General features: G+C 38.6%; 1 protein-coding gene across 22 annotated transcripts in view; it reads right to left on the bottom strand.

Annotated features, from left to right (window-relative positions):
* Positions 1–8,007: 8,007 nt before the first annotated feature.
* The window catches only part of MCTP2 (multiple C2 and transmembrane domain containing 2), a 252,587-nt gene continuing 238,179 nt past the window's right edge, over positions 8,008–22,415 (bottom strand). For all 22 annotated transcript variants that reach the window (NR_169532.1, NR_169530.1, NR_169529.1 and 19 more), the window contains 3 exons: positions 21,518–21,627; positions 15,167–15,264; positions 8,008–12,994 (listed from right to left, as the gene is read on the bottom strand). Coding sequence is in view for 15 of the 22 variants with exons in the window: in XM_047432839.1 (XP_047288795.1) it covers positions 12,926–12,994; positions 15,167–15,264; positions 21,518–21,627 (277 nt within the window). In the remaining 7 variants the exon portion in view is untranslated. The remainder of the gene's footprint in view (positions 12,995–15,166; positions 15,265–21,517; positions 21,628–22,415) is intronic.

Raw genomic sequence — 22,415 nt, 5'->3', positions numbered from 1 at the left:
TAATTAAACAAATTATCCAACTAAGGTACAGAGAAAACTATTTTTTATTGATACAAAACTTTTTACATGGGATCCATGTGATATTTTGTTACATTATAGCCTGAATAAAGATTAAGTCAGGCTGTTTGGTGTGTCTGTCACCTCAAGTATTTATCATTGAACAATTCAAGTCTTCTAGCTATTTTGAAATGTACAATACATTGTTAACTATAGTCATCCTACTCTGCTATCAAACATAACTTATTTCATCTTTGTAACTGCATGTTTGTACCCATTAAGCAAAATCTCTTGATTCCCATCCCCTCTCCCACAGACCCATTCCAGCCTGTGGTACCTATCATTTATTCTCTACCTTGATGAGATAACCTTTTTTAGCTCCCGCATATGAGTGAGAACATAGGATATATGTCTTTTTGTGCTTGGCTTATTTCCCTTAACATAATGACCTCTAGTTCCATCTATGTTGCTGCTGATGACATGATTTTATTCTTTTATATGGCAGAATAATATTCCATTGTGCATATATACCACATGTTCTTTATCAATTTATCTGTTGATGAACACTTACGTTGATTCCATATCTTTGCTATTGTGAATTGTGCTGCAATAAACATTGAATTGCAGGTATCTTTTTTGATATATTGATTTCTTTTCCTTTGGATAAATACCCAATAGAGGGATTGCTGGATCATATGGTAGTTTTATTTTTAGTTTTCTGATAAATCTCCATACTGTTTTCCATAGTGACTGTACTAATTTACATTCCCACTAACAGTGTATGGGCTTCCTTTACTCTGCATCCTTACCAGCATCTGTTATTTTTTTTTTTTTTGTCTTTTACATAAAAGCCAATCTAAGTGGAGCACAATGATGTCTCCTTACAGTTTTTATCTGAATTTCCTTCATAATTAGTGCTGTTGAGCATTTTATCATATACCTCTTGGTAAATGAAAATACCACTTGTGTATCTTCCTTTGAGACTGTGTATCTTCCTTTGAAAAATGTCTGTTCATTTTCTTTGCCCACTTTTTAATGAGATTTTTTTTTTTTTTGCTGTCGAATTGTTTGAGATTCTTATATATTCTGGATATTAGTCCCCTGTTGGATGAAGAAATTGCAAATACTTGTTAGTTGTTTTTGTTGTTGTTGTTGTTTTGAGACAGGATCTTGCTTCATCTCCCAGGCTGAAGTTCAGTGGCATGATCTTGGCTCATTGCAACCTAGACCTCCCAGGCTCAAGTGATCCTCCTGCTTCAGCCTCCCAAGTAGCCAGGATTACAGGTGTGCACCACCACACCTGGCTAATTTTTGTAATTTTTGTAGATATGAGATGTCTTTGTGTTGCCCAGGCTGGTTTGGTCTCGAACTCCTGGACTCAAGCAATCCTCCCACCTCAGCCTCACAAAGTGCTTCGGTTACAGGCATGAGCCATGGCCCCTGGCTGAAGTTGCAAATATTTTCTCTCATTCAACACATTGTCTCTTCAGTCTGTTATTGTTTCCTTTGCTGTGAAAAAGCTTTTTGGTTTAATGGAATCTCATTTGTCTATTTTGCTTTTGCTGCCTGTGCTTTTGAGGCTTTAGTCACAAAATATTTGCCTTAACCAATGTCCTAAAGTGTTTTTACTACGTTTTCTTCTAGCAATTTTATAGTTTCAGGTCTGACACTTAAGTCTTTCATTCATATTGATTTTTGTATATATGTTGAGAGATAGGGGTCTAGTTTTATTATTTTACGTATAGATATCCAGTTTTCCCAGCACCATTTATTGGAGAAGTTGTCCACTCCCTAATGTATGTTCTTGGTGCTTTTCAAAAAAAAAAAATCAGTTGGCTGTGAATGCCTGGATTTATTTCTGGATTCTCTATTCTGCTACATTGGTCTATGTGTCTGTTATGATAGCAACACCATGCTGTTATAGTTACTTTAGTCTCATAATATATTTTGAAGTCAGGAAGAGTCATGCTTTCACCTTTGTTCTTTTTGCTCAGGATTGTTTTTATTATTTGGGCTCATTTTGTGGTTCCATATAAATACTAGGGTTGTTTTTTCTATCTCTGTAAAATATGACATCAGTACTTTGATAGGGATTGCATTCAATCTGCAGTTTGCTTTGGGCAGAATGGTCATTTTAATGATATTAATTTTTTGAATTTATTGAGCATAGGTTGTCTTTCTATTTGTGTACTCTTCAATTTCTTTTATCAGTGTTTTAGAGTTTTCCTGATAGAAGTCTTTCAACTCTTGGATTAAATTTCTTCCCAGATTTTTTTGGGGTAGCTATTGCAAATGGAATTGCCTTCTTAATTTCTTTAGCAGGGAGTTCATTCTTGGTTCATAGAAATGCTACTAATTTTTGTATGTTGATTTTGCATCCTGCAACTTTACTGAATTTATTTATCATATCTAAGAAGTTTTTTTGGTAGACTCTTTAAGGTTTTCTTGATGTGAAATCTCAAATCATCAGCAACGAGGGATAATTTGACTTTTCTTTTCCAATTTGGATGATTTTTATTTGTTTCTCTTGCCAGATTTCTCTGGCAAGAATTTCCAGAATTATGTTAAATAGAAGTGCTGAATGTGGTATCCTTGTCTTGTTCTGGTTCTTACGGAGAAGGTTTTCAGCTTTTTCCCATTCATTATAACATTAGCAGTGGGTGTGTCATATATGGCCCTTATTATGTTCAGACATGATCCTTAAATGACTAGTTCACTGAGAGTTTTTATCAAATGTTGCAAAATCTCAATATTCAACAAGGAATGTTGTATGTTATCAAATGCTTTTTCTGCATCTAATGAGATAATATGGTTTCTATCCTTCAATCTGTTGATGTATCACATGTATTGATTTGCTTAGGTTGAACAATTCATGCTCCCCTCAGATAAATTCTGCTTGATCTTGGTGTATTATCTTTTTGCTGTGCTGTTGGGTTTGGTTTGGTAGTATTTTGTTTAGGATTTTTGCATCTATGTTCTTCATAGATAGTGGTCTGTAGTTTTGTACCAGGGTAATGCTAGCCTCATAGAATGAGTTAGGGAGAATTTGCTCCTCTTCAATTTTTTTTGGAATAGCTTGAGGAGAATTAGTATTAGCTCTTCTTTGAAAATTTGGTAGAATCTGGCAGTGAGGTAAGGCAGGCCTGGAATGTGTTGGGAGATTTTGTATTACTGATTCAATCTCATTAATCCTTTTGGTTTATTTGGGCTGTCTATTTCTTCTGGATTGAATCTTGGAAGGTCATGTGTCCTGGAATTTTTTAATTTTCTCTAGGCTTTCTAGATTGTTAATGTATAGTTGTTCATAATAGTCTCTGATGATTTTTATTATTTCTTTTTTGTGTGTGTACTCAATTATATTCTTTTTTTATTATTATACTTTGTTTTAGGGTACACGTACACAATGTGCAGGTTAGTTACATATGTATACATGCACCATGTTGGTGTGCTGCACCCATTAACTTGTCATTTAACATTAGGTATATCTCCTAATGCTATCCTGGTATCAGTTGTAATGTCTCCTTTTTCATTTCTGATTTTATTTATTTGGGTCTTTTTCTCTTGGTTAGTCTAGCTAGTGGTTAATCAATTTTGTTTATCTTTTCAAAAAATGAACTTATGGTTTTGCTAGTCCTTTGTATTTTTTGGTCTCAATTTCATTTATTTCTGCTCTAATCTTTACAATTTTTTTTCCTTCTACTAATTTTGGGTTTAGTTTGTTCTTACTTTTCTAGTTCTTTGATGGGTACTATTAGACCATTTATTTGGAATCTTTCTTCTTGTTTTTATGTAGGTAAGTTTTGCTATAAGCGTTCTTCTTAGCACTGCTTTTGCTCTATCCCATAGATTTTGGTATGTTGTGTTTCAATTTTCACTTATTTCCATTTTTTTCCTTAATTTCATCCTTAACCAAGTGGTCATTCAAGAGCATGTTTTTTAAGTATTATGTATTTGTAGTTAGCCAAGTTTTTCCTGTTACTGATTTACCCAAGTTTTTCCTGTTACTGATTTCTAGTTTTATTTCACTGTGGTCTGAAAAGATACTTGATACATTTATGAGTTTTAAAAATGTGTTGAGACTTGTGTTGTGTCCCAATCTTTGGTCTATTCTGGAAGAATGTTGCAGGTGCTGATGAGAAGAATGTGTATTCTGTGGCTGTTGTGTAAAATGTCCTGTAAATGTCTGTTAGGTGTGTTTGTTCAAACATGCGGTTTAAATTCACTGTTTCTTTGTTAGTTTCCTGTCTAGATGATCTGTCTAAAGCTGTAAGTGTGGTGTTAAAATCCTGAACTATTTTTGTATTGGAATGTATCTCTCCCTTTAGATCTAATAATATTTACTTTATATATCTGGGTGCTCCGGTGTTGGGTATATATAATTAGTTAGAATTGTTATTTCCTTTTGCTGAATTGATTCCTTGATCTTTATGTAATGACCTTCTTTGTCTCCTTTAATAAATTTGGATTTAAAGTCTGTTTTATCTAATATAAGTATAGGCACTCCTTTGGTTCTGGTTTCTGTTTACATGGAATGCAATGTCTTTTTCTATCCCTTTACTTTCAGTCTGTATGTGTCTTTACAGTTGAGATAGATTTCTTTTTTTTTTTTTTTGCCTGTATAATCAGGTCTTTATTCAAAAGAAGCTGTCCATGATGATTTGACCTTTATGGAATAATCAAATTTAAGAGTTTATGCAGCAGGCTTCTTTTCCTCTGTAGTAAGTTTCTTTTCTGCAGGCTTCTTATTTCTTATAGGCAGCATATAATTGGTCATTTTAAAAATACATTCTGCCAGTCTATATCCTGTAAGTGTAAAGTTTAATCTATTTACATTCAAAGATATTACTGATATGTGAGGGCTTATTCCTGTTATTTATTAATTGATTACTGGTTGTTTGGTATATCATTTGTTCCTTTCTTTCTCCATTAATGTTTATTATTGTGGGTTGATAGTTGTCTGTAGTGGTAATATTTGTGTCCTTTCTCTTCTTTATTTTTGTGTTTGTGCTACCATTTAGTTCTGTACTTTCATGTGTTTTCATGATTGTAGATGGTGTCTCTTTCCTCCCAGGTAGGACTCCCTTAAGCATTTCTTGCCAGGCCAGTCTAGGGTGATGATTTCTCTCAGCTTTTGCTTAGCTTGGAAAGATGATGATGACGATGATGATGATTATTATTATTTTCAGCACTTTGAATATATCATCTCATTCTCTCCTGGACTGTTAAATTTCTGAGGAGAAATTCAATGTTAGTTTGATGAGGGTTCCCTTATGAGGCACTTGATGCTTTTCTCTTGCTGTTTTTAAGAGTACTCTCTTGATCTTCCACTTACTACAATTTGATTATAATGTGCTGAGGAGAAGACCTTTTTGCATTGTGTTTTGGAATCTCTAAACGTTCTGTATCTGAATGTCTAAATCTCTTCCTAGACTTAGGGTGTTTTCAGCTATTATTTCAATAAATAGGTTTTCTAACTTTTTTATTTTCCCTTTGTCTTGTGGAACACCAAAAAATTTGATCACTATAAGGTATCTCATATGTCACGTAGGCTTTGCTCAATTTTTTTTTATTTTTGTCTGTGTTATTTTAAAAGACGTGTCTTCAAGTTTTGAAATTCTTCTTGATCTAGTCTATTGTTGAGCTATTGAAAGTATTTTGTATTTTACTTAATAAATCATTCAGTTCCAGAATTTGTTTTGTTCTTTATGACATCTATCTCTAGAAAATTTCTCATTCATATACTAACTTGTTTTTCTGATTTATTTGTATTGTTTTTCTGTATTCTCTTGGATCTAACTGAGCTTCTTAATATTGGTATTTTGAATTCTTTATCCAGGATTTCATAGATTTCTTCTTTTGGTTAATCTGTTGCTGGGATTTTATGTCCCTTTGGAAGTACTATCTTTGCTTTTTTTTTTTTTTTTTTTTTTTCATGTTTCTTGTGTCCTTACACTGATATCTGAACATCTGTCATGACAATCACTTCTTTCCATTTTTTAACTTGCTTTCCTAGGGCAGGGCTTTTTCCTGAAGATGTGTCTGTGGTGTTTGTTGGGTATGGTACTTTGGCTTTGATTCTGGGTGTATGCAGTAGTGTAGCTCTCATGATTTCTTTGGCTCTAAATAGCTTCACTGGTGTCTGTGATTTTCGTCAGTGGCCTAGGTTGTGGTTATTAGGGAAGGCTGTGGTGAACTTTTGCTTGTGAAAAGGACACCAGATGGGCCTGTCCTTGGGCCCTAGGACAGTGTATGCTGGCACTGTGCTAGCAGACCCAAGCCAGCCAATTCTTGGGCCTCCAGGCAGCTTGTTTGGGTGATGATAGTGGCAGTCGTGGGCTGGTGGTAAGTGTGTCCTTGGGCACTTGGGCAGTTGGCATGGCATGGGTGAAGCAGTAGTAGTGGTAGGACTAACCTCTGAGTCCCAAGAGCTCCACAGTGGTGTTGGCAGTGGTTGTGACAGGCTGGGCAGGCCAGTCCCCAGGCCCACAGGTGACACGTGTATGTGTGTGTGTGTGTGTGTGTGTGCTCATTGTGATGGTAGTGGCAGGTTGGGTGGCCCCAACTTCAGGGCCCTTGTTGGAGTGCTCAGGTGCCAATATTGGTGGACTGGGCTGAGTACTCCCCAGGCCTCCAGATGCCATGATTTGATACTAGGGGGTGGGGGTCAGAGCTAGGTCCAGTGGACTCATCCTCACATCCTTCAGTAGTGCTTGCAGACACTGACTATGGAAGGCAGGGGCGGTGTGACCCCAGGCCCCAGAATGTTCATGTTGGGGTGGCAGCAGCTGTACTGCACCCCTGGTACAGGGGAGAATAGAGTCACTTTCAATGGCAGCAGTGGCACACAAGTGCCTGGGAAGTGTACATTTCACTTGCCTTTGGCCCCAGTTGAGGCAGCCCACTGCTATGGCTGTCACCTGGTGGATTTGTTGTCCTTAGGGTGATTAAAAGCTGCACAGCAGCTTCACAGTTGGGAGCAGTGTGGTAGCTGCCAACAGCTCACACTTAAGCCCTACAGGTAGCAGGCAGCTGGAGTTGTGGCTGCAGGTGAAGCATGTCATTGGGGTTCCAGGGATATGAAGATGCAGGGGCTGTAGGGCCCAGGACAGAATGCAGTCTGGTGAGGGCTGAGATATCCAAGTGACAACTTGCTGTAGCTGCTTAGGACTTGGGGGTGTGTGGGATTATGTGTGCTCCCTCTCTGGGGCAGTATCGTCACACGGTCTTCAGGTAGCTCCCTATGTTGGTCTGGGGGCTCACAATAGTCTAGGGGCATTCCTATGGCTGGAATGTGGGAGTCTGTAGTGGGAACGTTGATCACTAGGAGTCACCCACTTACTCTTTTCTCATACTGGGAAGCCTTTCCTGGCTCCTAGCCTATCCCACCTGAACAGACTGTATTGCTTTCTTTCCCTTCCTTGCTTTAGGTGTTTCCTGTCACTTATCTGTAGAATTCCAGCATTCTCTCTTATATATGTGAACTGTGATTATCTACTCATTATTGTCTGGTCAAGTATCTGGAAGCCTCACTGATGTTTTCAGTGTAAAGACTTCTGTATATCTTTCACAATTTTGTATCTTCATAAGGGATTTTCTTAAGTAGTTTTCCATTCTGGTAGAACTTAGTTGGTTTTGAAGGAGAGTTATGTTGGCCTCATAAAATGCTTAAGAAAGTGGTTTTTTTTCTTTTGTTATTGTCTAGAAGAGTTTGTATAAGAGCGACAGGTTTTTTTTTTTTCCTATAAGTATTTGGAGAAATTTCAGTTTTTAGAATTATTTTGAATGAGCAATTATATCTAAAACACTTAGAAAGTAACTGGCATTTGATAAATGCCATAAAATATTAGTATTCTTGTGTGCTTGAATATCCATTTTCCTGTGTAAATCATTACATAAATGCTAGGACAGAACAGCTGTGGGCTTTACACAGAGGTAACATGCTTGAAGCCATTCCTTTAGAAGTCACCCTTCAGGATTTCAGCATTTATTCAATTATCAGTTACTACTCAATGCATTTTCAGGCAATTTTTATTTTAATTTTTCAACTGTTCCGTTGTCACAAGATTCCTAATACATAAATGAGAGGCAGGTTTTGATAGAACATAGTTTTTTTTAAAGTTCAGGGGTAACTGTGCAGGTTTGTTACATAGGTAAACTGTGTCAGAGAGGCTTGTCATACAGATTATTTCATCGCCCATGTATTAAGCCTGGTACTCATTATTTTTCCTGATCCTCTTCCTCCTTTCACCCTTCACCCTCCAATAGCCCCCAGTGTATTTTGTTCCCTTCTACATGTCCATGTGTTCTCATCATTTAACTCCTACCTATAAATGAGAACATGTGGTATTTGGTTTTCTGTTGCTGCATTAGTTTGCTAAGGATAATGGCCTCCAGCTGTATCCAAGTTCCTGCAAAAGGACATGATCTCATTCTTTTTTATGGCTGCATAGTATTCCATGGTGTACCTCTACCACATTTTCTTTATCCATTCTATCAATGATGGGCATTTAGACTGATCCAGTGTCTTTGCTATTGTAAATAGTGTTGCAGTGAACATGTGTGTGCATGTGTTTTTATAGTAGAACAATTTATATTCCTTTGGGTACATACCCAGTTATGGGATTGCTGGGTCAAATGGTATTTCTGTCTTTAGGTTTTTGAGGAAACACCCACCCTGTCTTCCACAGCGGTTGAACTAATTTACACTCCAACCAACAATGTATAAGTGCAGAACATAGTTTTCAATAATGAATATGGCTAACTCCATCTCAAGCCCATGAAGAATTTTTTGCAGCTAATAGGGTTACACTGAGGTCATGACACCTCTGTTTTCTTACTAAAATAATCCCAAATATCTCCTTTCATTCCAAATTCCAGCCCTCTCTCTCTCCTTTCTTCTCCACAGTGGAATTTTTCAAGGGTTACCTCCATTCAGAGGCCCCATATTTTCACATCCACTCACTTCTCAACCCAGCGTGGTTTCCATTTCTACCATTCCACTGAAATGGCTTGTTGCCAGGGTGCTTCCAAACTGTCAAACCATTAAGGTCATGATTCTGTACTTATGTGATCTCAGCGGCATTTGATATTATTGACCACATCAGCTTTCTTGCAGTATGCTCTGCCACTGAATTCTAGGACAGTCCATGCTTACTGTTTTTCTCCTCTGTATTTACCCGTTTCTATTTACACTCTTAACTGACTTGCCTTTCTATATATGACATTAACTGTTGAGTTCTTCAAGGTTTAATTTCTTGAAGCATGTAGTTTTGATCACTTTTCATATACAATGTTTGCCTTTAACTTGTGTACATCTCAAGTACAGTGTGTTACTTCTCTGAGAACTATATATTCCATTACCTTGCTGACATTCCTATTTGGATGCTTTTCAGTCACCTGAGATTCAGCGCTAAAACTGGACTCCTGTGGTCCTCTCACAGCAGTTCTTACAGTTCTCTCCCTTAGTGAAAGGTAACACCATCTTCCTAGACCTGGAGACCTAGGGACTGAGAGCCATCCTTGACTCTACGCTCCCTCATCCCATAGTCCAGCAATTGTTAAGTCCTGCTCACTTTATCTCTTCACCATCTCTCAATTCTACTTACTTTTTTCCCAGTGCCACTATTTGAAAGTCCAGGGTGTTATTCATTTATCAGGAGTACTACAAAGGGCTAATATTAATAACTTCTCTAAACTTTGAAAATTGCTAGGCTATCCATTGCAGCTAGAATATTTTTCAAACTTAAATCTGAGCATGGCATGCTGTTGCTTGAAAGTATCTGTTTAATGTCTGGCTTTACCAAGGGAATGTAGTCTGTTTTGTTCCAGAAAATTATCGGCATTCAATATAGACTTGTTAAATGATAATTTACAAGTAAAGAAAAAAGAATCCAGAAGATTGTTTTACCACCTAGAAATAAACATTATATTTTCCTCTGATATGTAGGTAAGAACTTCAAATATAAGACATAATTTAAAAGTTTATAATTGACATAGTCAGGGATTATAAATAATATCACACAAAATAAGCTCTTAATGCAAGAAATGAATCTCCAGGATAGATCATACTAATCTATCCAATCCAGCCCTCTGTTCTGAAAGCAGCACATGAAAAGGCAGAGAAAGAAAAATAATCTCTACGACCTGGCCTGTTAAACATGTATTTATTTCCTGAGTAACTATTAGGTGCTAGCTGTAATGGGCTATTCAGTGGAGGACAGTGGTCAAAGCCTCTTATGATGTATGGCAGATGCCAGAAAGATATGAAAGATGTGATGGTACAAAAAAGGAAGTTGGAGTCACATCCAGCCACAGGACTAACTAAGCCTCTTTGGGGCAGGAGACTTTGGAAGTGTTGAAGGAGAGTAGAATCTATTCAGAAAGAAACAACTGGGGGCAGGTCCTTCCAGTCTGAATGAAGATTAACTAGGCATAATGTAACTGGCATCATGGCCGTGACGTCTGAGAGGTTATGAAGGCCTCCACTTGGGTGGTGGAAATCAGAACAGAAGTGGTTAATGCATTGACACTGGACCTACTAGGCTTTAGGGGTTGGGAGACGAGGACAACAGCACGAGGAACAAAAAAAAAGAGGATGACCGAGAAATTCCAAGCCCAGAAAATGCCAGTCCTGGTAAGGGAAATAAGGAAGCTGGAAGGAGATTATGAGGGTTGGGGTTCTGAAGACAGGGAGAGACAGATGATGTTTAGTTTCTGACTTGCTGAGGTGTAGATGCCTGTAAGATAGAGAGACAGGGCTAGAAATGGGAAGATAAAGTTTGAGAAGGGAACCAGGAAAACTTGGCAAGACTTCAACATCCCTACTTAATTATCACACTGTGAATCCACAATCGATAAATTTTATCAAAAGCATTCTGGAATCTTTCCTAAAAGTTTTTGACAATTGTATAAATCTTAACATGTCACTTACAACTAACATTCCTTTCTAACAAACATCCAATGTCTACTTAATCAACTAACAATTGTTTTCTATATACAGTTTATTCAAGGTTGATTCGGTCCTGCTCTTACGTCCCAGCTGGTGTTTGGGTCCTAAACTTAACACTGAGAATTTCAATCGGGCTACAGAGGAAACAAGTCTAACTAATGATGCCTTCTTGTCGGGCAAATAATTTCATTTTGAAATTCTATAGCAAAAGAACAACAATAAAGTATTGGTTCCACTTTTAAATAAATAAGGGGTTATTTTGCTGCTGAAAGTTTTCATTCAAATGACTGATCAGATCTCACATGTCTGTTTAAAAATGTCTGACTTAGGTCGTTACAAAATGACAGACTATGATAAACTAGATGATAGTTAGAAGCAAGACAATGAGGCATTGTTTACACAGAAGATTGAGTAACTGGTTTAACAAAAGAGGTTCTTGGGTATCTATTGTATGTACAACTACGAGATTTACTGGAGCTTTTATAATTTCTGCAAGGCTCTTTTCCAGCCAGCTTCATTAACTTGAAGTAAATCAAATCATGCAGAATTCTGGCTCAGCCAGAAAGCAACCCAGTGAGATACAACATGAAGAAAAACAGACACGGGATGATAAGATTTAGAATCTTTGGCATTTTTCGTAAACATTTTGTTTGAAGATTATTAAATTACAACCCAGAGACAAAAAAAAAAAAATAGTGAACTCACTATTAAATGAGATCTTTTTAACCTTAACTTTTTTTATAATACATACATACATAAAAACTGCACAAAGTATGTGTCAACAAAATACAGTCTTTAAAACTTAAATATCATTTAAACAGACTTAATTGCATACATTTTATATACGCACAAAGTCAGGATTTTTACATGGCAGGGAAATACTGTGGAATGATGAGGTCTGCAGGAGACAGATGCTATCAAATGAGGACTCTGGGGTGGTATTTTCTAGAAATGGGGTTCTGAAATAAATTTTTATTGTATGTAGCTTATTTTACTTCTAAGAGGAACAAAAGATACATTTGGGCAGCCAAAGTATTTCTACTTCCTGCTTAAAACATTCAGGCAAATGAAATGATTATAATAATTAGGTAAGCAGCCTTATTAGTCTCTCGGTCTTCAGTTTCTTATCTTTCTAAATACCTAGAGAATTTATTCATTCATTTCTCCCCTACCCCCACCTGCCTTTCTGAAATTATATGTTGACATTTTATAATATTTTGAAAATAAGCAAAAAGTAAAGTGAGAAGAAGTGGCATCAGAAGGCAACCAAATACTTTCATGGGACCCTCATTTTTCAAGTGAGTGATCTCTAGGGACCTTCCTGGGCCATCCATTGCCAGCAATGGACCCTGCTGTAGGCTGGCATCCAGCACCGAGAGGTTTCCCAAAAATTCACATACATATCCTTAATAATCATGGCTGAAAGATCCCTAAAGGTTTGAGCTAATTCTGGTAATTATTAAAAATGCCTTTTAATAATATACAATATTTGGACAGAGGATGACTACCAAAGACTTGTTAACTCTGAGAAGAGACTTACGCCCATGAACGATAATCTGAAAGGAGTGTGGGGCTGGGGAGCGGAAATAACTGAATCTTAATGAGAGTCTGTTGGAGGTGTGAAAACAAGTTCAAAGTCACTCTTGAATCCAAGTGGGCTCCTGGCTGTTCTCAAGGAAGGTGGTGTTCAGATCCATGGCAGCCTTGTTATCTCCTATTTCAGAATGGATGTTAGTCTTTCACAGTCTTGGGGTTGTTGCTTTTCGCTGGGCTGACCCTCTACGCAACTAGGACACCCATGCATGAGGGTGTGTGCACATGTGTGTATGTCTGTGCACGTGAAGGAGGAGGAAGTATACAGAGGGTGCCACAGGGCATGCATTTCAGAAGGACACCTTGGGTACCACTGAAACAGCCATAACATTGGTCTACTCAACCAAACACAATATTGGGTGCTGCTGTCCAAAGTCGGTGTGTGCCCTAGAGAGCGCTGCGCTTCTTCCGCAGGGGGCTGTGGCTGCTGCAGAGTTTCAATTCTGCATACTGCACCTGTGAAAACAAATAGCCGTGATGCTGGCGGTTAGGTAACCCTAGCTCGCCACAGTGTGTGCTAATGGCTCCCCAAGGACAACCGAAGGCAAAGGAAGGAAGGTTCAAAGGTAATGAATCATTTTCTAAACACAGGAACATGGAGGGATTAATTGCAGGAAGGATTTGAGAAGTCATGCATCATTTCTTGAAACCAAAATATTAAAAGCAGATTTTTCTAATGAGATGCGTGGGTTTCTACCTTCGCTGGGCACTGCTAGATGATGTTCGTTTTGTGTGTGCCAGTTTTCAACCATAAGTAAGCTTAATAACTGCCTCTTGGGAATGTTTATCTTAGTATATGATACAGCAACTTACTGAGGATTATTCGTTTAAAAATATCTAAAATCTTGGGGAAAACATCTCGGAAAATTATACACATTTACTTTGCCTGAGAGGAAAAAATGCTGAAATTGATACTGGACCCCAGACTTTTATATAGATTTCTCGTGGAAATTAATTTCATTTGCAATGTAATGACTAAAACATCTGTGATAAATATGAGTACTTGGGAGTCCCCAGTGGCAAACTGTCACTGTGTTATTAGAAAGCGCCCTTGGCGATACACGGAGGATCTTACTAGCATACTGTACATCTTCCTGGAATGTTCTTTTGCTGCATCTCTCTGTGTTCATGCCATCTCCAACTGGAATGGCCACTTTGAGGGCTAGTGACTGGACTCTGCACAGAGAATCCTTGGGGGCTTGAGGGAAATTTCTGTTCTTCAAGGATACAGTGTGAACTCACACTGCGACCCAAGTGATGGTACGTTGCAAATATATTGCTTTGGTGTGTGGGCTTTGATAGGCTGCTGGTGGAATGGCTTTATTTAAAACATTGTATTACAGACCACATGTGCTCCCTATTTTTAGCATTTGTGACAAATTCCCCAAGGACATTATGCCTGATCACAGAAGTCAGGCTGTACTTTGTCAGAGGCAGATAAATGAAGAAAACACCCCATTCCTTATGGTGTTTTGCGAAGGTGCCCTAAGGGAGCAGAGGATGACATACCTGTCAATCTTCAATGCAAAACAAACAGGGGCCGGGTTATTATTTTTTAATTAAGTAATACAAATGTTAAAGAGTAAATTCATCTTTCTAGAATGTGTTTTCACAGCTAATTATGAAATGAATTTTAAAGGAAGATAGCATCACAGAGTCCATTTTAATTTCTAGAACTCGGAATGAAGGGGAAAGAAACTCTAAGGCTTTTCCGCCCCAGATCTTTGAAATCCTCCCTGAGCTGCCAGGGAACCAATTATGCTACAGTGGCTCAAATATGAAAATCGATATTTGATTTGGGATTCTCTGAGATATTAAAGGATTGTGTCTTTGATCATCTTGATGATATTTCACGCCATGGTCTCCCCATCTACCTATTCAGTGATCTCTGTTCTCCATTAGAGAAACTGCCGCCTGCCCTCCTTCCTCTGGATTTATAGCAGGCTGATCCACAGGGGCCAGGATCGAGCTACTCTACACGACTTTCTAGTATTGTTGCCTTCGTTAATCTCTGTGTATCCACAGAAACAGGACACTGCTGGACTAGGTGACCATTATCTGTGAATAATACTTCTGATTGATCTCACATTATTTCACACTGCCTCTGCCTCTTTGTGTATTACAGTAAATGGGGGCTGCATTCTCAGCATCCCTAAGTCTTCAGAGGGAAGACGATAGAAGGGAGGCCTAGGAGATAAATCAGGGCAAATGAGAATAAAAAGAATAATCCTTTTGTCCCCTACTTCCCCTAAAATGCTTGCCACCCGGAAGAAGAAAATAAGCAACACTCCCTGGGTTTGGATCTCATGCAATTCTACTCACTGAGCCCATCTTATCCTCTTTAGGGAGGCAAGCAATCGAAAGGGGACAAGCATCAGTGCCCAGTAGCCACACAGTGTGAGTTCCAGATCATACTTAAGTAGCTCTTTTTCAAAACAATTTCCCCCAATCACCTCATGCTTTGGACAAAGATTTTTCTGCCACTTCTCTGCAAGCCAGGCCTCTTTAAGGATTTTCTGGTTCCTTATCTCAATTACTCACACAAGCAAAGCCTTGTGTTCCTCTGGCTCCGGGGCTGGCCAGATTTCAGGTTGGGGCCACTGTTGGTGGTAACCATTCATTACATACCTTTTGAACATCAGACGGTACCCTAGAGAGGAAGTCTAGTAGCTCATTATTGTCGATGGAATAGGGATTTCGAAGCTTCTTAGTAAATTTATTTATGCCTGAAAAATAGAAACACAGGAGATCTCTTTATCTGTCTGTCTGTCTATCTATCTATCTATCTATCTATCTATCTATCTATCTATCTATCTGTCAGTCAATCATCTATCTATCTAGCATCTATCTTCAAAAACTCGCCTGACTCGGGGGAGAGGGGATATTCACAAGTAAAAATTAGTGTGAAAACAATTACCAGACCTCAAGTCAAGCACATGTTGCTGTCATGTAGAATCATTCACAAATGCCTTTTCCTGAAGGCAGGAAGCAGGGGCTGGTGAAGAGGGGCTCTGCCTTCTTCAGCTGTGAAAATCCCATTACAATCCCAGCAGCAGGGCGACAGAAACACACGCTCAAACTGGGGAGCACGTTGGCTTTTTTGGAATACGCTGATTAACAGCCGCCTCTGCTATGAAAACAAATGTCCCAGATGGGAAAAGGCCTTCATTAGCCCAAACAAGTCCCTGCTTGGAGGCTCTGGACCAAACGTAGCAGTGGGAGGTAGAGGGCGGGAGTTGTTTTCTTGTTGTTACAAAGAAAACCGCAGTCATCTGTCTTTCCCCACCTCCAACTCATTTTCACAGGTTTCTCTCCTCTCACAGCAGAACAGAACCTGACATGTTGATTGTACTTTGATGCTGCAGGAAACTGTGAAAAGTTATTATTGGCAAATTATCTTACTATGGTTGCTAACTTAATTTATGGATCACAACGTCGGTGCGTGGGTCTGTCTGGGCAATGGAGAACATGCTAATTTAGGACAAGGACAAGGATAATTAGAAACGGGTTGAACGTTTAAGATGTCAACATCCTATAGACCGTCCCTCTTTGGTGGCTGCACCTTGGGTTCCCGTGCATATCCAGGACACGCTCTGCCCCTGGTTTACTCTTTAGAGGGGAGTTCCTCTCAACCACGTTTTGTCTTCTACTCTGCTCTTTGGAGCTGCTTTGACTATATCCGGAGCTCATAAGCTGTAGTCTTTTCACCAAATGTCAACCCGTTTTTCATGTTGAGTTTTAGAAGCAGAAAGACTAGGTGGCCTTCTGAAGTTTTGCCACAGGGTGCTTGTTTAACAAGGATCATATCTGAAGGGCTGTCAGTCCCAATGACGCTGAATGAATTCTTAGCTTCGTTGTACTCTGAATGGCTCCTACTCAGAAGTCAAGGTAACATTTAACTGTTCAGTAGTCCCCAACACACAAAGGGTTTGATTTTTTTGTTGTTGTTCATTAAGTATTATTTTGCTTTCATCTGAGGACTAGGCTTCCTGCATGGCATTATACCTGACACAATGCCAACCTCCAGTTATTTCTTTGGAGGGTCAGATTTACATCTGCTTTGCAAATGGGAGCCAGCCATTGTGCCCGAGTAAATGGTGGCTTGGCGGTTGGGCTGGTGAAGGTTCCTAGCAAATGATCGCCTTTCCCTCAAGTCAAAGCTGCACTCTGCCTTTTTTCCCTCTACCCCCACAGCAAGCTTCACGTTTCTAGCTAAAATTTCCCCCAGTGTTCCTTTACACTGAAATACTCTCACTGTGTTATTCTAAAGACATTTAATTGTAGCATGGGCTTTTTGGCAAAAGAAAACAGACAAGGCAAAATGATGAAGGGAGACAAAGACGTATTGAGAACAGATATATCTTCTATTGTTAATTATATATGGTGTGCGCATCTGGAGTCTTCACAATGAACGGCAAGGCAGGGATAATATCACAGCTGATCAAAACACTGCATTCTTAGTCACTGAGAAGATTATAAACCTGCACAGTAGCTCAAATGCACCAATGAGGGCAAAAGTATTCCACAATGCACTGAGACTATCTATGTTTGAAAAAAAAAAACTTAGGATAAAAATTATAGGGCACTCAGATTGCATGTTTCAAATGCACACCTTATTTATGAAGGTGTCCAGGATCAAAAGTTTCAATAATTTTGCCCTATTCACAACTCTGTGAGACCGACTGTCAACAGGAAATCACAGACCCCTTGGTTCCTTTTTTTGTTTTAAGAGATGGGGTTTCGCCATGTTGGTCAGGCTGGTGTTGAACTCCTGACCTCAGGTGATCCACCCACCTCAGCCTCCCAAAGTGCTGGGATTACAGGCGTGAGCCACCACACCCAGCCACCTTGGTCATTCTTTAAGGGACAAGAAAAAAAAGGTTGTGACGTAGGAATACCTGGGCCCCCGTTCTGGCTTCATGTATTAGCTGTGTGATTTTAGAAAAATCACGTAACCTTCCTGTACCTCACATTTCTTACATTAATATTTGAATAATAAAGACCTCCTTATAGAGTTTCTTGGGTAGATGGGAGAATCACATTGGGCAGTACAGGCAAAATGATACTGTAGTCTGAAATTCTACAACAATGCAGAGGGCTACCATCATTACTGTACATGCAAACAAGCTAAGGAGACAAAGGAAGTGAGCATGGAAAAGAGCCTTTAATACTATTAAAGCCAACTATGATGATGCAGACACATTTAGAAATTGTGGCTTCATCTATTAGCATGCTAAACATACCTTAGATTTTTTTAACCTAAATAGTACAGAGGGAGGGTATATCTGTTGTAAAATTACTTTTAGCGAAAGAAAAGAAAGAACAGAAAAAAAGCAAGTGGGATAAAATACTGAAGAATAACATTTTGTTGGGAAAGATGCTATCATGTACTGGTCCTGGATCATAGATTGAATTGATCAGTGGGGTGGAATGTGGAATGAGCCCTACAGTTTAAAAAAAAAAAATCACTTGGAGAAAATCAGAAGAGATGGAAAAATTGCATGGCTGCTTTGCACATTTGGTCACTTGAGAATAACCACTTGAAACACAATTAAAACACCATTTTTCAGATATTCATATGAGCGACCAGCAGGTAGCTCCAACTGTAATACACTGGTTGGGGTGAGGCAGGGGTTCCTTGCCTGTTCATTTATCAAATTCTGAGTGTCTTCCATGTAAAAAAATATTGTGCTATCAAGTGAAGATACAAACTTAAACGAGGCATAGGTCCTTCTTGCAAAAAGCTAAAAATTTAGCTTAGAGAATTAATATCTACCCTGAAAAAACAGAAGTGGTTTCAACTAGAAGTGAAAAAGTATAATTAAAACCTCTACAATAGAAGGAATATGGGAAATCTCTCAAAAGGAAACCCACATGGGATCTAATCCTAAGAAAAGCTCTGCCTTCTGGAAATACATACTTCATGTAAGTGACTAAAATGCAGTAGATAATGTTTCCTAAAGAAAACTTCAGATATCCTTAAAATCTACTTCTCACTTAATTTTCAAAAATCACACTCCTACACAGGAGAGGTCATAGGCCTAACAAAATGTCATCTATATAGAGCACAGGTATTAAGCTTGCAGGCTCATTCATTCATAAAAATATTTAAGAACTCATTAAAGATCTCTTACATAAATGTGGCTGCACTAAGAATTATAGGGCTAAAGAGGAAATAAAGCATCTCACCTGTCAAAATAATTTTGGTGTGTCCAAAAATATTCCCAATAGCTAGTATAAAATTAGGCTGTTTTATGTGCTTATGTGAAATGATTCTGATACTTATATAAAAATATGACTTGAGGATATAAAATATGGAAATCTAGTATATATAGTTACATTTTTTTCAAAAAATTAAAAACATAGAACAAAACATTTTAGGATATTATTCACCATTTTAGCACTCAATAAAAAATGAATAAGTAACTTAGAATAAGAAAGTCTTCTGATCCTTAAAGTTAGAAAAACCACTAAAACTTTAAGACATATACATTTATCTCCTTTGTGAGAAAAAAATTGCTGCAAAGGATGCAATCATACAAGAAATTTGCAAAATAATGTCCTGCCCTATGCTAGCTAGTAACTAATTTGTCTTAGGATAAGTCCTAACAGAATTACAGAATATATTCTAGGATGGCATGGCAGTTTTTACATAATGAGAAGAGGCAATAGATCACGTGGTGATTGTCAAGGCTTGTAACTACATTCACTATGGTAAGCTCTTCAATAAACTATGAGCTTCTGTTTAAAATGTAAAACTGAAGAACCAGACGTAAAGTACAAAGCTCAGAGGGTTACTGACAGCCCAAGAGAGCATAATAAACTCCATACCATTTAATAACTTTATCCATAAAGTGGAAAATAGAACAATATTTCATTAAGTAGATGCAAAAAGTTGTTGGAAAGCTGCCAAGATCTTGGAGGATAAGATCAGAAGCCAAGGTGATTTGGATATAGAGAAAGAGGGATTGGAATCTCAAAATTGATGATCAAATGAGAAAATAGAGTATTTGTCTTTTTCGTTTTTTTGTTTTGTTTTGATTTTGAGACGGAGTCTTGTTCTGTTGCCCAGGCTGGAGTGCAGTGGCTTGATCTCAGCTCCCTGCAACTTCCGCCTCCCGGATTCAAGCGATTCTCATGCCTCAGCCTCCCAGGTAGCTGGGATTACAGGTGCCTGCCATCACCTTGGCTTAGTTTTGTATTTTTGGTAGAAACAGGGTTTCACCATATTGGCCAGGCTGGTCTCGAACTCCTGACCTCGGGTGATCTGCCCGCCTCGGCCTCCCAAAGTGCTGGGATTACAGGCGTGAGCCACTGCACCCAGCCAGTATTAGTCTTCTTTGTGGAAGGAAAGATGCATAGAAACAGACCAAGCAAGCACCAGGATGATGAGGAAGTCCAGAAGAAGCAATGTTTAACAGCTGACCATGGCACTCAACTTACATGAACTTAAAAGTGAACAAACCACTAGCCAAATGATTGCAATTTTTAATCACATTCTGGTTAGAGTCAGACAACAATCTCAAGATCTATGTTCTAAATGTTATCAGTAAACAAGATAGTAGTACGCACGAAAACATAATTGAAAAATAAGATAACCAGTTGATGCAAATAACATTCAGTATATAAATTATTCAGGAAAATACTTTTTTTTTTTTTTTTCAAAATATGCCTTCTTAATCAGTGGCCCTGAAGAGCTCTATGTTCTCTCTTAAGGACCAATTTGCTATTATTGTTGCCAAGTAAACAAAAAATACCAACAAGAACTAAGCACAGATGAGACTTTCCTCCAAGAATCAGGATCATCAAGTATTAAAATAGATCCCTGAATAGTTTAGAGAATAATTGGATTATACTCTCTCAAAATCCCTAAATCATTCTACTTCTGTAATTGTATGAGCTACTCTATTTTTCCCGTGACTTTTTCCTATTGCCCAAGTTTGGCTTTTCTTGACAGCAGGATTCTACTTTGTTGGATGCTCTTTGAAAAAGTCTATATTTAATGGTTTTTAGAAAGGTTGTAGCTTTCATCCAGCATTTGCAGGCTCTCAGCTTTTGCTTAAGGATGAATGCGTCTCAACACAGTCTCTTCTCTTTGTGATTTCCCCAAACATCTTAACATCTGAAGATCCCTGGAAGTGACGAGCATTGAGAATTCATCGGCAGTCATAGCTAAGTCATGGAAAACCAGGATTGGCAGACCCTTTACGGAGAACGGCTAACTGCTTCTCCAACATTTCAGTTATTGCAGTTCCCTCTCCTTATATCAACTCAGAGCCCACCCAGGAACAGACACTAATACTCACCAAGCTGCTTGCATTTTGTCCAACCGCTAGTTTGAGTATTAAATCAAGTCATGACATTTATTTCCAGTTTGCCAGTTTTGTTTCTACTTTCTTTTTAAAGCAGCTAAACTTTATGTAGGCACACCATTTCCCCTGGTAAATAATAACTTCCTCTCTGTTCAGGCACTGGTTAGGTATTCACAGAACGCCCCCTCCCCTCCCTCTCCCTGCTTCTGGATTTAAGAATGGGGTTAGGTGAATTTTTTTCTCCAAGAGGGATGAAGTGTCAGAAGCAACCTGGTAGTGGCCAGATCCACTTTTACATAATATCAAGGGCATGATGCAGGTAGGTGTTTGCTCACTGTTTGAACAGTGTTTCCTTAAAGTTACCCGGGCACAGCAATATATTATCCAAGAGGATTTATGACTAGCAAAGCCCAAAGGGAAATGGCATGTACAATCACATTTTTATTTGATTGCAATTATGCAAGAGGCCTATAAATATCTATGCTGATCACTCATGCAACTGGCCTTTCAGGGAGGTCCTGGAAGTTTTTGTTCCCCAAATGCTTTCCTTAATCTCATGTTTAATTGCCAACAAGAGCACATTTAAAATTAATAGTCGCACTTTAAAAATGAGTAATTGGTTCTTACCTGGAATTGATTGCTAGCAAAAGGACCATTCCAAACTTACCCCAGATTAAAATGATGTACCGCAGTGGAATGAAATACAAAATGATGGTGGCTGCTGCCAGAATCAAACAGGCCAGAGATGAAAGGAAGGGGACCGTCCAGTTAAATGTGCTGTAGACAAACCACATAAATATAATTTCCTCTGATGTTCAACAACTGCCACAGAGTCAACTTGTCATGTTTATTTCATGTTCATAATTATAGAAATTTTTTTTACAGTCTATTGGAAAAATTTTGTTAAAAACCTCAAGATGAGAGTCTGCCAAAATGATTGGGTACTGGAAAAACATTCTTAAAAGGACAGTCACAAACCAATTGCCATTCAATTTGTCAGAATATTGGTGACTTTACCTCCCTGGAACCCATAGTTCCAGAGAAGACTTTTGGCTCTCAGAAGTGATTAAAAACTGCAATGTTGCCACGATGGCTATGCATGGAGATCTTCAAAACTAAGGGTTAGGTCACTTCTAATTCAACAATTGTCTCTCAATAAACACACGGTTACTAGTAATTATGGTAACCTTTCCTTTACCAGAAAAGGGAGAACTTTTTTTTTTTCTTTTTTGTCTTTTTTGAGACAGGATCTTGCTGTTACCCAGGCTGTAGAGCAGTGATGCAGTCATAGCTCACTGCAGCCTCGACCCCCCAGGCTCAAACGATCCTCCTGCTTTAGCCTCCTTAGTAGCTGGGACTACAGGCAAGAGACACCACAGCCTAATTCTAATTTTGAAAATTTTTGTAGAGCTCTGGCGTCCCTATGTCACCCCAGGCTAGTCTCGAACTCCTGGGGTCAAGCAATTCTCCTGCCTTGACCTCCCAAAGTGCTGGGATTATAGGTGTGAGCCACTGTGCCCCATGGGGAGGACTGTATTACATGGCATTGGTGGTTTTGTGTTCAC

Source organism: Homo sapiens, chromosome 15 (assembly GCF_000001405.40).
Source record: "Homo sapiens chromosome 15, GRCh38.p14 Primary Assembly".
NCBI classification, from domain to species: domain Eukaryota; kingdom Metazoa; phylum Chordata; class Mammalia; order Primates; family Hominidae; genus Homo; species Homo sapiens.
This window is presented reverse-complemented; position numbering and strand designations above follow the sequence as displayed.